Below are 16736 nucleotides of genomic sequence, written 5' to 3'. Positions count from 1 at the left end.
TGATGTCAGAGCTCTTCTCCCTCTTGTGGGACTCCTGAACCCTTGTGCCAAATCCCTGGAAGCCTATGTAGAGTTCCTCCAGCCAATGTTCACCTCTTTCCCAGCAGTCCCTTTGCTCCCTGTTTTCTCTGTGGGCTCTGGGCTCCTAATTCAGGGTTTTTGTAACCTCAGGACATTCACATTAAACCCTCAGGTGAGCCACTGAGCAGTCCCAACTGGCCTGCCAGCCTTTGGAACTGTGGCTACCTGGTGGTTGTGACCACTGGCTTCCAACCTGGCCCTTACTTCCCACCTGTCTGTCCTCCTGGGCTGACCAACTGCCTGGCACAGCCCCTTGAATTAGAGGAAGGCAACTAACATTTACTGAGTGATTATCATGAGCTGGGTGCTTTGTATATGGATTTACATTTAATCCTCTCGAAAACTTGTGAGCTTAAGGTTATTGTTTCCATTTACAGAAACCCAGAGAGGCTGAAGCTTGCTCAAGCTTAGAAAGTGGCTGATTCAGTAATCAAGCCCGTGTCTGTCTGATTCTAAAGACTGTGTCCCTTCCACATCTTCTTGTGAACTGTCTGATTTCAGTTTCCTGGGTATTCGTTGTCACATGGTCATCTCTGAGCTGGGATGTGCTGGTTTGGGCCAATTTATTTAGACTTCTGGTGTAAACCCATGGGAGTGGTTCTGTCTAGGCTCATGGAGCAGTAGGTCCTCCTCCAGTGCAAACTCCAAGCCAAACACCACTTGGGATTTTGAGGTACAGCACCTGGCCTCACTCAAATCTGAGTCCAAGTCCCAGCTGTGTTGCTTACAGGTTAGAAGATCTGGTGCAAGACTCATGTCTTTGGTTTCTTTGGCCTGAAATAATAATCCCCACTTACCAGGCTAAAGTGGGGAGCTAATGAATAACCCACAGGGAAATGTCTAACAGAAACAAGCACAGATGAATGTGGTCCACGCATCGCACCCCCTCCCAGACACCGGCATACCCACCCCCAGGGCAAAAATGGTTGCAAAGGGCAGGATCAACTCTGGAATCGATTGCCTGGCTTTGTATTAACCATGTCTTTTATTTTCTGTGTTCTGATGCTTTGATATCTGGGGCCTTCTGACCCTGGATGGACTGCCTCTTCCAGAGTTAGCTAGTTCTTAGTGATAGTGAACAACTCACCTGTGACTGCACTTTTTAAATGCAAACCAACCAATCCAGAGGCCACACTCCAGTCACCCTTTGTATCAGGCTCTTACACTCTGGGCCACTGTTGGCTTGGCCACAACTAGCGACAGCCCATATGAAATTGTTTGAACTGGTCAGTCTTAAGTCTGCTTACACTACCTTGCCCCTTCCACCCTCAAAAACCACAACAAAGGCTCCTACCCACAACTCCCTCTCTCTCTCTGCCTCCTGACCCACTCCAGTACTTCCTATGTGGACCTCGTGGCATGGTCTGCCCCCTTCTCTTGGAAACTATATTTTTAATGGCAATCACCTTCCTAGCTATTGGCCTTATATCTTACATTTTCTATTAATATACTATACTTTAAAACAGGCTTTGAATCCAAGATTCAAGACACCAGCTGTGTAATCTCAGGCATTCCTCTCTGAGCCTCCATTTTCTCAACTATAAAATAGGGGCAGTCACTGTTTCTCCTCCTCCTCCTCCTTTTTTTTCTTTCTTCTTTTTTTTGAAACAGAGTCTCGCTCCGTCGCCCATGCTGGAGTGCAGTGGCGCGATCTCAGCTCACTGTAACCTCCGCTTCCCAGGTTCAAGTGATTCTCCTGCCTCAGCCTCTCAAGTAGCTGGGATACAGGCATGCACCACCATGCCCGGCCAATTTTGGTAATTTTGTTTTCAGTAGAGACAAGGTTTCACCATGTTGGCCAGGCTGGTCTCAAACTCCTGACCTCAGGTGACCTGCCCACCTTGGCCTTCCAAAGTGCTGGGATTACAGGCGTGAGCCACCACGCCTGGCCCACCATTTCTATTTCTTAAGATGGTTATGAGGATTAACTAATGGATCACCTGACACATGCTAAGTGCTCAACCAGGGTTAATGCCGTTAGTGTGATGATCACTGCTGTGCATTCTGTACTCACCAAACACCCACCATGGTGCAATGCACAGTCTGGGGTGGACACAGTGCAGCCCTGATTTGGACGAGGACGAGCAGTTAAGACCCCTTCTCTGTGTATTTCCTGACCATCCAAATACAAATTGGGGCCCCTAGTATTCTGAAGAATTATACATCTGTTCAGGAGAGGCCGGGAGTGGAACCTGGCCAGTCTTAGGACCTGAAGGAACAGTTATTCTGACTGGTGAGCAGCAGACCTGCATTGGCCACAGAGCGTTGCTTGCCACGTGGATGGCAGGAGGCTGGATGGACAAGCGGATGGCACTGCTAACTTGGTGTCAGAGTAGAGGTCAAGTGAGAACACGGTGAGCCAGGTTGATGGCTAGGAGTCAGGAGAAGGTGATTGGTCAAAGCTAAATTATAGGAGCATCAACCTGTATGCAGAGACCGTGTTACCAGGACCATTCTTTTTTTTTGTTTTTGTTTTTTTGTTTTTGAGACGGAGTCTCGCTCTGTCGCCCAGGCTGGAATGCAGTGGCATGATCTCAGCTCACTGCAAGCTCTGCCTCCCAGGTTCATGCCATTCTCCCGCCTCAGCCTCCTGAGTAACTGGGACTACAGGCACCTGCCACCAAGCCTGGCTAAGTTTTTTTGTTTTTGTATTTTTAGTAGAGATGGGGTTTCACAGGACCATTCTTTACCTGGGTGTGCTGCGGCAACTGGACCGGTCTAGCAGGTGGAGCAATGGCTGGGGTGAGGATATATAGACAGAGGATAGTGACTTCTAGGAACCCAGATACCACTTGATCCTCCCCAAAAGAGAGGTCCCAAGCGCATATGGACTGCACCCCTAGAGCTGAGCTAGGTTGGCAAATGTAACCTGCAAGGCTCTGCATAATTGTTCCGGTGCATCAAACTATAGCATAATGTAGTAACAACGGTGATAGGATGTGAATGTTAGGGAAATGCTGTTGACCTAGTTGGTGGAGGAAGAGGGTCACAGCAGGTATGTGAGATCAGTGATTCTCAAATTTGAGCATGACTTAGAATCACCTACAGGGCTGTATAAATCACAAAGTACTGGGCCTCCAGCCCCAATCTCCTGCAAGTTTCTGATTCAGGTCTAGGGTGGGGCCTGAGAATTTGCATACCTAACATGCTCCTACACTAGCCAGCACTATGCTAGTTAATATTTTTCAAAAATAACTGCTTCCCTTCCATACCAGGCACCATGTTCTTAGGACCTTCCTTGAGCAAGGAGTCTATTTTCGTACCTGAAGACATCGGGCTTGGTTTTATGACATGGCTTGGCAATGAAATGTGAATGCAGGGATTGTGTGCCAAGAACTATTGTGGACTTTTGCCGTGTCTCTTTTCGTCTCTGTCAGGAGACCCGCATGTCCCAGATGTAGGGCTGCTCATTCAGCCTGGGTCTTATAATTAAGAAGACATGAAATCCAGCTGCACCTGACCCATGATGAACATGTGACATGGGAAATAAGCAAACCGTTGTCATAAGTAACTGAGATTTGGGGAACTGCTTGTTAGGGAAGCATACCATGGCTTAAAGTGACTGATATAGAAGACTTCCTAGAGAAAATGATGCCGAACAGAGTCTTAAAGGTGAATTATCTAGACAGAGAAGAAGAGGCAAGGCTATGTCAAACTTCATCCTGTAGGGACCTGATAAACCTCAAATGTGACATGTCTAAAACAAAGGCTTAGATGCCATTTCCCATCCCCAAATTGTTCCTTCCAAAGTCTTCTCCAAGACATTAAATAGCACCATCACCTACCCTGTTTCTAAAGGCAAAAAATCAGGAAGCCCTCCTTAATCAACTTGTCTAATTCCCCCACTGCCCTCATCAGCAAGTCCAGCTGGCTGCACCTACAGATACAAGGTCAACTCCAGGGTCTCATCCTAGTTTAAGCCGCCACCATCTCTCCCCTGTGTTGTTTGCAATTACCCACTTGCTGGTCTGCCTGTTTCCACCCTTGCTTCTCTTTACTCCATTCTCCACACTGTAGCCAGAGCAATGTGATAAAAATATAAATCAGAGTACAGATTAGCTCATTTCAGTCCTTGCAGTCTCCAAAGGCTTCCAATTATATTTAAAATAAAACCTCACCTCCTTATTGTGGCCTGCAAAGCCCTACATAATCTAGTCCCTGTCTACTTCACTAATCTCTCCTCACACCATGTTCCCTAGTCCACTTCAGTAAGTTCAAGACACATTGGGCTTCTTTCTAATCTTCATTCCCACCTCAGGACCTTTTCACTGCAAGTTGCCTCTTCCTCAGTTGCTCACATGCCACCTCCTCCTGAAAGCCTGCCTTGGCTACCCTAACTCAAGAAGTTCCTCTGTTGCTCTCCAAGTTGATCTCTCCCAATGTTTCCTTTCCTTTCCGTCATTGCCCTCATTGCTGATTACAGTTATTTATTTGCCTATTTGATTGTTATCTGCACACTCATTAGAATGGACGTTCCAAGACAGATAGAAGATCAAAGATTTTCATTCATTCATGCATTCACTCCTTCATTCAACAAATATTTATTAAGCATCTAGTATGTACAAGACATTGTCAGTTGTTCTGGGGACACAGCAGGCAATACTACTTCAGCAATAAACCACTGCCTTACACATTACAGTTGCTCAATAAATATTAGTTGACTAAATAAATAAATGAGTAAACCAAAAGGTAGGAAAAAGGTTGAATCAGAAAGGATATTGATCACAAGTACATTGCTAACAGTAAAACTAAACTTTAATAACAAAGCAACAAAACTGCTAAATTAGACTGGCTGGGACATCCAGATCAAACAACATTGGTCCAGAGAAAATGAGCTAGGAAAGGCTGCCTCATTGGGATTTCTGAAATTATGCAAGAATCATTAAAATGTAGAACATGACTATGAGTAACCAGCATGAAAATACCAAGTGCATTTCTTCTATTCACAGAATGACTACCCAGTAACTTATGTGGTATAATTTATTGAGGGCTTTCCTTGACAAATGAAAGGAAACCGTATTTGCGAAGGAAACTGCAAATACGGTTTCATTTTCAAACTTGTGCTGCCAATTTCTATGAATAATTTTGTGTCCAGGATTTAATGAATCTTTCAGGAATTTTTATAAACTGCTACAAGTCAAAGTCAAGAGACAGTGTTTGCAAGAAGCAGTGTTTCAAAGGTTTAAATGCTATACCTGGTTCTGGCCAGAAACTCTGAAGTTCTCTTCTTCTTTTCAGATATTGGAATATTCTTCATGTAATGCAGTATCACTTCTGTATGAAGCCACGTGTAACTTGTCCCCCTCCTTTCCATCATGAGAACTACTGAAGATGTAAACCAAATCCAGGTACAGAAAAGTCTCAATAATTCAGGCTTTGGAGAAAGCCAGTGGGAGCCATTGCGAAGCCTGAATTCTAGAGCACTAGGGTATGGTGTATGTGTTTTTTAAAAAAGTACATTCAATAATATAAAGTAAGTCAACCAAGTATTGACTTTTGCTCATAGTTGGTGGGGAGGAAGCTAAATTAATGATATATTAAAATGCCTTACAGTCGCATATTGCATATTGATTTGTCCTCATAAGGAAGATAAACAATTTTTCCTATAAGATTACTTATACATTATTTTCTTAATTCACTTTTTCAGAGCACTTTCAATTGAATTTCAGGCAAAATGCAATCTAGGCCTAGTCCAGCTAAATGCAAACTTTGGATTTGTGGGTCTAAATTTTTTTATTGTAAAACTTAAAAGCATTCTTATATCCACCATTGTAGAGTTACTCTAACATTCTTCAAAATTTTATCAGAGACTTCTTGCTGTTTTTAGGTGTCAAGATATTTATTAATTGCTTTTTACAATGTGCTGTGACTCATGCTTAAAGTAATCACTTTTCTTTAATGACTCAAGCAGGGAAACCAGTGACATTTGTGAATAGTAGACGGGATAAAAGGAGCTGGACACACTCTTTCTTCAACATCTGCCATGATATGATTTCACAAGCAAGAAATGTGCCAAGGCTTCTACCCAAGTAAGCTATTATTCATTTATTTCATTGTTGAGGAATGCCTTAATATGACTAGGATAGAAAAATTATGTTGATGTGCTTATACAAGAAAAAAAATGAACAGACCAAAGGAGGAGAATAAAAAGCCCAGGAAACCACAAAGACTTTAAGCAGCTTTATGCCAAAGGGGAAAAAATGATCTTTGTAATGAATGGTGCTGATCAGTGGATATCCAAACAGGAAAATAAACATGCCTTCACCCCCTACTTCACATAAGCTACAACTATCAATTCTAGAAGTACAGGTTTAACTATGAAAAATAATAAAGTTTCTAGAAGAAACGTAGAGCATCTTCATGACGTTGTAGTATGTAAAGATTTCTTAAATAGATCCCAAATTCCCAATCATATTGGGAAAAATAATAAATTTCTATATTAAATTAAGAACTTCCATTCATTAGCCAGATGCAGTGGCTCACAGTAGCCTCTCAACGTGCTGTAATCCCAGCACGTTGAGAGGCCAAGGTGGGTGGATCCCTTGAACTCAGGAATTCAAGACCAGCCTGGGCAACATAGTGAGACCTTGTCTCTACAAAAAATACAAAACAAACAAACAAAATTAGGCGCACATGGTAGCCCACACTTGTACTCCCAGCTACTTAGGAGGCTGAGGCGGGAGTATGGCTTGAGCCTGGGAGGCAGAAGTTGCAGTGGGCCAAGATCACACCACTGCACTCCAGCCTGAGTGACCAAGTGAGACCCTGTCTCAAAAAACAAACTAAACTAACTAACTAAATAAATAACTTTCATTCATCAAAAAGACACCAACATCAAGAAAGCAAAAACTACAGCTCACAGAATGGAAAGTAGTATTTCCAATGTTTATCTAACAGAGAACACATTTCCATAATAAATAAAGAATGTCCACAAATCAGTAAGAAAAAGACACAAATCCAATAGGAAACTGCGCAAAAACATAAACAAGTACTTCACAAAATAGAATATCCAAATGGCCAATAAACATACTAAAAGACAGCAAATCTCACTAGTCATCAGGGAAATACAAATCAAAAACACAATGAGATAATACCATACACACAGTGAGTGGAATGGCTAAAATGAAAGACAGATGATGCCAATTATTGAGTAGGATGTAAAGAAGCTGGAACCCCCATAAATGCTTCTGTTGAGCGTGTATATTGGTAGCACCATATTTAAAAAGTTGCTGGCAGTATCTACTAAAGCAGTGTGTAGGCATATCTCATGACCCAGCAGTTTTACTCCTAGGGATACACATTACAGAAATGCATGCATATGTTCCCTAAAAGACATATACAAGAGGCTGGGTATGGTGGCTCATGCCTGTAATCCCAGCACTTTGGGAGGCCGAGGCAGGCGGATCACGAGGTCAAGAGATCGAGACCATCTTGGCCAACATGGTGAAACCCTGTCTCTACTAAAAATACAAAAATTAGCTGGGCATGGTGGCACGCACTTGTAGTCCCAGCTGCTCGGGAGGCTGAGGCAGGAGAATCACTTGAACCCGGGAGGTGGGGGTTGCAGTGAGCCAAGATCACACCACTGCACTCCAGCCAGGGGACAGAGCGAGACTCTGTCTCAAACAAAAAAAAAAGATAGATATATACAAGAATATTCATAGCCCAAAGTGGAAGCTACCTGTCCATTCAATGGTAGAATGGAAAAATAAACTGTGGTACATTCACAATGAGTTAGTGAAATAAGAATGAGAAAACTGCAACCACACATAACATGAACATCTCTCACAAACATCCTGCTGAAAGAGTGCAGACAGACACAAAAGAGTAGATACTGCACAATTACTCTTACATAAAGCTCAAAAACAGGCACAACTAATCTGGGGCCTCAGAAGTCAGGATGGTGGTTTGTCTTTTCAGCGTTTTAACTGGAAGGGGCACGAGGGAGGCTTCTGGGATGTTTAAATGTTCTGAGACATTTTTGCTCTAAGTGCTGATTACATGTTCAATTTGTGAAATTGTTCAATTTGTGAGAAGTCATCAAGCTGGACACATGATCCTTGCATAAAACTGAACACTTATAATTTATGCATAAAATCAACTCTCACTGCAAGACATTTTATATTTTTTTCGGTTTATTTCTGATTATATTTGGAGAGGCCAATTTTACATGATAGCTTCAAACCAACCATTGTACATTAACCAAATTTTACACAAGCCATTTGAAAAAAGATCTAAAAATGTGCTTAGTTATTGGTATTATATAACATAACATTTATCAAGCACCAAGAGTGTGCTGAGAGCTGTACAGAACAAACATAGAAAAGACAGTCCCTGCCTTCAAGAATACCCATTCCTTCAGGATCTTGCACATAAAATTTCACCTTACATTCCACACTCTTTTATTCATAAGGCATAAATAAGGAAGTTTGTTGCATTTCTCATTGTTACTTAATAAATATTGAATACCCTTTTCCCCAATTATACCAACAATTACTTGTATCTTTGCCTTTAAATACAAATTTTCATAGTACAGTATACAGTATATACTGATTTGGTATTCACACAATTGACCACAATATTCTTGCAGGTTGGTTATAATATGAAGCATGTTGAATTTCAACATTCACAAATTTTTATACCACTTAACAAAATCTTTTATTGTTGGCAGAGCTTCTTCTGTTTTTTTCTATTTCAAAAAAAAAAACAACAACAACAAATGTGATGCCACTGCTCTTATCTTGATAACTTGTAAACAGAAACAGCACTGCCTTGATTCCAATAAGGGTATCAGAACTATGGCACAGATATTCAGAACAGTGATATTTAGCACGTCTATTAAACTAGCCTTACAGATGTCAATCACATAGTTGCATACCTTAAAATACTAACAATTTATGATCAGCTAGTAATGGATGATGTAAGTTATGATTTAGTTTACTGTAATGAAGGGGATACTGGTATAAAATGTCGGCAAAATTTGAGCGGGGAAATATTTTTTGCTTTTCTGCAAGGCTGTGTTCAAAACAAATTCAGATTAGAAGATGAAATGATTATGAAAGAAGATGAAATGATTATGAATTTAATCATTGGTTAAGGATATTTAATTTCAAAATAATCTCAAATAATATTTTATTACTTTTAAAATGCAGGAAAAACGAAGTGAATTTTGATAACGTTGTAATTTTAGACTCAGGTACAAGAAATTATCCTTTACATAAAAATGCCAGAGTATGGTGGGAGATGGCACCCAGTACAGTAGAGAGGCCAGTCCGTATGTCACCTGCGGGAACTCATTGCAACAGGAGGTGATGGGCAAAGATTAGAGAGATGGATAGATGTTTCCCTCCTAGCCAGACTCTATCTTGCTCATTCTGCAAACTGAGGGAATAGGGGAGATAGATAGGGTGAGTCTCAGGGTCAGGGAAGGAAGGCTGGGGTGAGCTTGGGGTCAATGGCAAGAAAAGCTCCAACTGTGAACCTCACCTTCTATCTATCCCAAGACCCCAAGCATCCAATAGCTCCAAGCCATGGTAATGATTCATAACCTCAGCGTCAGACTTGGTATTATCAGACTGAGGATGACCCCTTTCCAGAGAAACCCACCTTACTTTTGGCCTCCATTTTGCAATTTCCTGGATTATTACCAGGTCTAGATGTTTCCGTTACGTGACAACAATGTTGAGTTGAATTTTAAAGCTACTGTGGACTCAGAGCAAGACTGAATTTCTGACTACCTCTCCAGCTATGGAAAGTATAGAATATTCTATAGAATCCTTTCATTTCCAAGCCTGAGGTGTGACTTATAGTCATGCCTTCCCAAGGTAGCTAGGCACATGCCCAAATGGGGTCCACTAGGAATAGATTCACCAAGGGCAGTGGAAAAAGTGGTTTGGTCCAGCCTCGATGGTCCTACCTGTTAAATGGAAGATTTGGGGTGGATTTGACTAGATTTTTCTTATCCTGGGTAAGTACATCTCCCCCTCTTCTGCAAATCCAGAGCAAGAGGTTGGGAGCTACCTATCTCTGATGCTCTGGCACTTCATCTGTGATAAAGAGGAGAATAGTGGGGCTACAATATGGTGTAGAGTCTTACTGGTTGAGGGGTTAGGTGGAAAGGCAATGCCCAGAGTGGTAACCTAGTAGTCTCTTTGGGGTGAAAGAAACAACCTTATGTAATATGCCCCATTGAAAACAGAGCACCAAAGACTATAATTCTGATGATAGAGAGTAACATATTTTTTTCATTTTCAATTATAAATCCTCAGTTTTTCATACTAAGGCTTAAGTTTTCGGTTACTGAAATTGAAAATCCATACATAAACATGATAATACAAATAGATAACATGAAGACTTCTAAAAATAAAGGTTCACCACAGATGAAAACATTCATCCCTCACTTGTTAACATAATAAAATTAACTGTCTACCCCTTAATGGTGAACAACAGAATCAGACACAGCAAGCTAAGCATTATTTGCGATTTTTCAGAATGGATGCTAGACTCCTATTGCTTTAAAAATTGAGATGCTCTCAAATCTTTTAGAAATTTATTATATCATACGGAGTGATTACACTTGCTACCAAAATCTATTTATATCCCACCTTATTATCAAAAAATATATATAAGGTAGCTAGTTTCTGTCAATCCTTTTTTCTTTGACCTGTAACAAGACATTGGAATCAGATGCTGATAAGGATTCTTTCTGTTCCATTATTGTCAGAGCACCATTCAGCAGGTGGAAACAGATCAAATTTGGATGAAATTACAACAGCTTCTTTTACACGAAAGAAACCTTGCTCTCAAGTTATTTAACAGAGAAGACAATAAATAAAAATCAAGTATTTAGATAGATAGATAGACATATAGATAGATAGATAGACATATAGATAAGTGGTTAAACAGATAATATTTTTTGCACTGCTGACAAGTATTCAAAACTCTGGAGTAGGTGTTGGGGTAACTGAGAAGACCTCAGTGCCTTTATTATTATTATATTATTGAACATTATTGAGCAAGCTTTCAAAATCTTTTTAAAGCCATTGAAAATGGCAGATATTAGTGGTGCGTGAAAACCATGGTTTACAGATAGAATGTCAACGTTTAGCCATTGTCTCTACTCTTCAAGGCACAAGGACAAGTTCCAAACTCTTCAACTCATGTATGAGAGGCAGAGCATCTGGTACCACCAGGAGATAGAAAATCAAGGAATGGAGCCACACACCAAAGCAAGAACAGGAGATCCTTTGGAGTGGCCATGATTTTCAAATACTGACCTTACATCGTTAGCAGGCAGCTCCCCTACACTTTGGATTGAGGACGAGGTCTCCTGGCCTGAATACCTTGGCCCATCATGCAGTCTGAGCATACTTCATTCCACGCCTGACTTGGTAGTCCAGCTCCTTCTCACTCCAAGTGCAAGGAAGAAGGTCCAGAATGTTTCCATGAAGATCTGCAGTGATGCAGACACTCTGTCGTGTTGATGACAAAAGGGCAAGAATGAAACGTCAGTAGCCCTTGATAAAAGTCGACAGAGAAGTAATACCCTTTAGGGACACACACCCTGTTACTTCACCAGCAATGGTCTAAGAACATTATGGAAAAGAGAAGCCACCTCTTTTCTTCTTATGTTGCTATTTCCCTTAGTTTCTTCTAAAGAGGCGTGTATTAAATATCTTCTGTATAACTTATTCCCCACCATGAAACATCATCAAAATGGAAAGAACCCAATTAATCTTCCTTTTTTGGCTTGGAATATTCAATTTGTATTTATTGATAGTCCATGATGTTCTTTTGGTAGGAAAAGATATTGCACTTCTAAAAATGCGTCAGAGTGTAATTGAGTCAAAGCTAATAGGTAGGTAGATTTCTCACTAGAATGTATACTTTCTGAAAACCACCTTCATTCAACATTTGTAGAAATGCCTCCATGATTTCATCTCCATTTCAACAAATTGTTGCCTCACTGCTGCAAGATTCTAAGATACAGACGACGACATTGGTAGTCATAAGCTGTACGTAAGGTTGCATTCTTAGCTCATGATTTCATTGTGCAGATGGGCACGACAATAACGAGGATGACGGTGCATGCCGCAGCAGCGATCAGAGCAGCTATCTTGCAGACCTTGGCTCGTCTGAATTCGGCTTCTTTACGTTTTAGTAATGAATCGTATCCTGGAGTATAAATGTCTTCCATCCAGTACTCTAAATTATTTGGGTTTAAAGATTCTTGCGTCTAAAAGCGAAGAGAAGATGTTAGAAATACAGTGAATACTTGAAATCAGGTCAAAGACGTCCCGACAGTCATCACTCCTGAAGCACTTAAGTTGTCTGCAGCTGGGAGTTAGAGACTGTATTGCATAACACTGCCCCACCAGCCCCATGCCTGAGGCAGGCTACTACAGGCTCATCCCACATATCACAGATTGCATAGGCCCCTCCCTCACTAAAAATATCATGTTGGTTTTGACACAGAGAAACCCAAGGGTCTTTTATCTGTAAGCAAGCAAAATGGGGCTGAGACGAGCAAGACTCCAAACTTCAAGGGCATGCAACCAAGGAGGGGCTGGCCTCACTGCAAAGGAAACAAGGAAAGTCACTGAAAAATGCTTTCTTCCAACAGGCTCTAAGAACAGATCTGCTTGAAACAAGACCATCATAGCACTCTGAGTCAGTTCTTCTTTCTCAGAAAAGCTTCTACTGAAAAATCAAAGGAACCTCCAAGATGAGCAGTTTAAACAAAACATAGACTATTTCAAATTCAGCCATTTATCTGAGCAGGTCATGCCACTGCTCAAAGTCAAGGTCTACCAACCCCATGGCAGACTGTTCCCACCCTAGACCTGCCTTGGCAATAGTTTCAGACTCGGTGCAGCTTCCCCAAAGAGAGAGCCCCCACTGACATTTGTCTGCTGATCTCCCTGAGGTTAATCAACTGTCATCAGGAGAAATACCATATTTAACTTGTATTTTCCGTGAATCCTATTCCACGTTGACAGTTATAATCTATTTCCATGAAGAAAGGCAGTGTTCTCATTTTATGGCAAGCATTTAATAATATGAGTGTCACATAAAAGCAACAGCACATTGCAATTCGAAGTGAGGTCATTTAAGTCTTTGAAATGCAAACAAAATATCCATTTTTAAGATTTTCTTAGATTGTTTAATGCTCATAAACATGGGCACATTAAAAATTATTCATACACATATACAAACACAGGCTCAAAAAACAAACCTTTCAAAGTTTTAAAAAACTCAGTTGTACCATTTATTGATGGAACAGTGATGATTCTAATGCATGCTAGTAATTCTCTGCCTGACCTTCTAGATTCATTCTCTTTTTTCATCTTGCTCTGTGCCCCTAGGAATATAACGTACATGGACACGTCATGGGGGCTCCCCTGCCCTCAAGCTCCCATGGGGGTTCAGCCAATGAAGACAAGAAGAAAGAGAGATTGAGGTATTTATTCCCCCAGCTCCCTCCTGGCTGGGCTGTAGTTTGGCAGTGGCCCAGCTCCTATTGGACACCTGCTCTCAGAGCTGTGGGTCTCAGTGGGTTTCAGAAACAGCCCCTTTCCCTTGGCCCTTCAGATCCAAGGGTGGCAACAGCTTCCTACTGGTGCTGGTCTCTGGGTGCTTCACCAGCTATTGTAAAGAGTCCCCTCCTTAGCTACCCCTTTGAGAATGTCACCTGCCTGCTGCCAGGACACTGACAACCCGCAGGCCCTGCACCCCTCAGGCTTTATTATCTACCTGTTGCTCATAGTTGTCTAGCACAGGGGTAGACACACTATGGCCTGCAGGCCGTATCTGACCTGCCACCTGTCTTTGTACAACCCTTGAACTACGAGTGATTTTTAGTGATTTTTTTCCATTTTTAAATGGTTGAAAAAAAATCAAAAGAATATTTTATGACATATGAAAATTATATGAAATGCAAATCTCAGTGTCCAAAAATAAAGATTTATGGGAACACAGCCACTCCTATTTGTTTCCAAATTGTCTATAGCTGCTTTCACACTACAATGGCAGATTGTACAATGGGAGATTATAAGGCCCACAAGGCCTAAAGGATTTACTATCTGGTCCTTTACAGAGAAAGTTTGCCAGCCCCCGTTCTAGAACATGCTATGCGACACTACAATGGAAAGAGAAGGGGATCTAGGCATCACAGAAAATCTTCCTGGTCCCTTCCCTCGCCGAGGCATAATGTTTAGAGACTGCTGTTTAATTTCTCAAGTTACATGGAAGGGTGGGAGGTGGTCCTGGACACTCAGGGCACCCAAAATAGAAACCAAGACACTCTCAATGTGGGGAAAAGTCCCTATTGTGCAGAGTGCTCTGTCCAACCCTTCAGCCTTTGCAAGAAACTCCTGCATCCTCTGCTAGAGCCCCAGAAGCCTCTTCCCTGAGCTTCCCAGAGCAGTTCCACTGCTGCTGAACCCTGACTGTTGGACCGCCTCTTCCTCCTGCTTGAGCCACCAAAGCTCTGCTTGCCACAGGCCCTTGGGGCCAGTCTGCTCTCCTTGGCATGAAAACATGAACACCCTTCAGCAGTTTAATAGGCACTAAAGGGCATATTTTGCTGGAAGACTGGTCTGCAGAAGTGGCTGAGGCACCCCTAAAGGCTGGGTGCTGGTGGGGGTCAGACCAGCAGCCCTCCCTACCCTGGCACCTGGAAGTCAGGCTCAGCACACTATGGGTAGAACAACCTGCTCTTCTTCTCAGTCATCCTAGGGCTGGCCCAGAAGCCAAACAGTGTCTAAATGACACATCAGATTTTGTACTTTATTCCCTCCGGCTCAGACAGAAGGAAATTGGCTTTCTTTCATAGCTATATACACTATTACGGGCTGGGATTCAGTGTGTGAAATAAACTATTTTTAATTAGTTTTTTCAATAACTGTAAGCTGTAATCGCACCAAGTAGAAAAGAGGTAATACTGAGGTTTCAAGGGACACAGGTGAGTGTATGCAGTTATTAATTAGCCCTGGCAAACACTGGAAAGAAGAACGGGGTCTGCACCTTTGCCTACGCCCTCAAGTGGGCACCACTGATGGTGAATGTATATCTCAACACAAAGGAACTCCGGGAAGATTGTCCAGACACCAACACTGCCCTAAGACTGTACTCGAGTCTGCAAAGAGATGAAAAGAAAAAAGGTTGTGCTTACTGCCTTCACCAAGCTCTCAAGGTTGGCTCTTTTTTGCTGTAAACACCCTCACACGGCTATTGAACTCTCTACTTCCTCATATTTTATGCAACTGGATACTCTCTCCTTTGGATTTTTAAGTAATGTCACCTAAAGCTCTGTAACCCCAATATCTATTTTTAATTTTTATAATTTTATCTTTATGCTTATAAACACTGGTGCAGTAAAAGCTCACATATCTGTAGGGGGTAAATCTTCCAGCTCCCTCCCTGCAAACTTTGCAAAGATGTTTCTCAGCCTATGGCTCACTTAATTAATCTAACTCTTTCAAGGTCATCCAGTGATACTGATGAAATATTCCACCGGAGGGAGAATCATGAAATATTCCACCGGAGGGAGAATCAAATCCCTGTCTAGCCTCCTTGCCCGCAGGAAGTTGACAGAAGAGGGATTGACCTGAAGGATCAAGGGGTATGCAGTCCAAGTGGGAATGTAACATGCATGAGGTAAGGGGGTGAGGAAGGGCTTAGGGTTGCTACTGATGCCCCCACAACCCTCACTGTCAGGGTCTGGACAGAGCTGCCCCTTCCCATAATTGCTGTCATTTAAGGCCCAAGATAAAGAAATGTCATTGCAATCATTTTCTTTTGTAACATAAAACTCCACTAAACCCTTAACAAGAGAAAAATGAAATGGCAAGAAAATTGCAGAAGAGAAAGACCATGAGACTTATTGCCAGATGGTCCAGTATGAATTTAGACTTGTCTGACCTGGGGCAAATTATCGAGCTTCCTGGGGCCTCGATTTCCTCATTTGTAAACTGAAGATGGTCATAGCAATTCCGGCCTCACAGGCCACTGTGCCTGGAACTGAGAGACTGTAAAAAGCACCATGCAAAGTTGATTGATTTCAGCATCATTGACCAGCCCCCAAGGGCCTTCTTTTTCAGTGCCTACTTGATGCCAGGTACTTTAAATATATTAATTCTTACAATGACTCACAAGCTTGATATTATTATGTCCATTTAACAGGTGGAGGGACTGAACCTCAATCAGATGGAGTGAATGCTTCAGGTCACACAGCGAAAGAGTCCTGGATGAAAACCCAGTGCTACCAGAAGGCAGTCTCTTCTCTCCACCACACTGTACCTCCCACAGCCCTCTTTTAGAGCAAGGCCATTTCAGGGAAGCCTTGCCATACCCGATCTCCACAGGCAGCTCTCACCAACTGTGCTTCAAGTGCATGGTCATTCCAGAGCCTGGACGGAACGGGCACTCCTGGTGCTATGGCCTCACTGCCTACAAAGCTAAGTGCACAGGTAGGGGGACAGGGTGCTTCCTTTGCTCCTGTGGTGATCTGGAGACACAGATCAACCCAGTGTGAATGGAACCAGGCAGAGCTGCCCACCAAAATAAAAGTGTGGCCAAAACCCAGCCCTGCTTGTGGGTGAACAAAAAACATGCCCTCCAGCCACAACTGCATTCACAGAGCTTCCGGGGATGGC

At 42.2% G+C, this 16736-nt stretch overlaps 1 protein-coding gene and 1 long non-coding RNA gene across 8 annotated transcripts in view, besides 1 other annotated feature; one reads left to right on the top strand and one right to left on the bottom strand.

Moving 5' to 3' along the window:
- Positions 1-5319: 5319 nt before the first annotated feature.
- Positions 5320-16665, top strand: LOC105370918 (uncharacterized). Of its 2 annotated transcripts, XR_007064728.1 has the most exons (5): positions 5343-5429; positions 5990-6110; positions 13446-13540; positions 15565-15738; positions 16264-16665. It is a non-coding gene; the product is annotated as an uncharacterized LOC105370918 (long non-coding RNA). The 2 variants fall into 2 exon arrangements; XR_007064729.1 differs by having other exon boundaries at positions 5320-5429; positions 5993-6110; positions 13446-15738.
- MINAR1 (membrane integral NOTCH2 associated receptor 1) overlaps positions 8199-16736 on the bottom strand; it is a 60905-nt gene continuing 52367 nt past the window's right edge. For all 6 annotated transcript variants that reach the window (XM_017022027.2, XM_011521392.2, NM_015206.3 and 3 more), the window contains exon 4: positions 8199-12316. In XM_017022027.2, coding sequence (XP_016877516.1) covers positions 12119-12316 — 198 coding nt within the window. In that variant the 3' untranslated portion in view covers positions 8199-12118. The remainder of the gene's footprint in view (positions 12317-16736) is intronic.
- Positions 15473-16672: an enhancer, noted in NCBI's record as "CDK7 strongly-dependent group 2 enhancer chr15:79756173-79757372 (GRCh37/hg19 assembly coordinates)". NCBI's record gives its function as "activates an origin of replication core promoter dependent on BRD2, BRD4, P300/CBP, MED14 and CDK7 cofactors, with strong dependence on CDK7, by STARR-seq in HCT116 cells {active_cell/tissue: HCT116}" and the evidence as "EXISTENCE:reporter gene assay evidence [ECO:0000049][PMID:35650434]".

This window comes from Homo sapiens, chromosome 15, assembly GCF_000001405.40.
Source record: "Homo sapiens chromosome 15, GRCh38.p14 Primary Assembly".
Lineage (NCBI taxonomy): Eukaryota > Metazoa > Chordata > Mammalia > Primates > Hominidae > Homo > Homo sapiens.
Note: the sequence above shows the minus strand (reverse complement) of the source record. Positions and strands in the feature narration are given on the sequence as shown.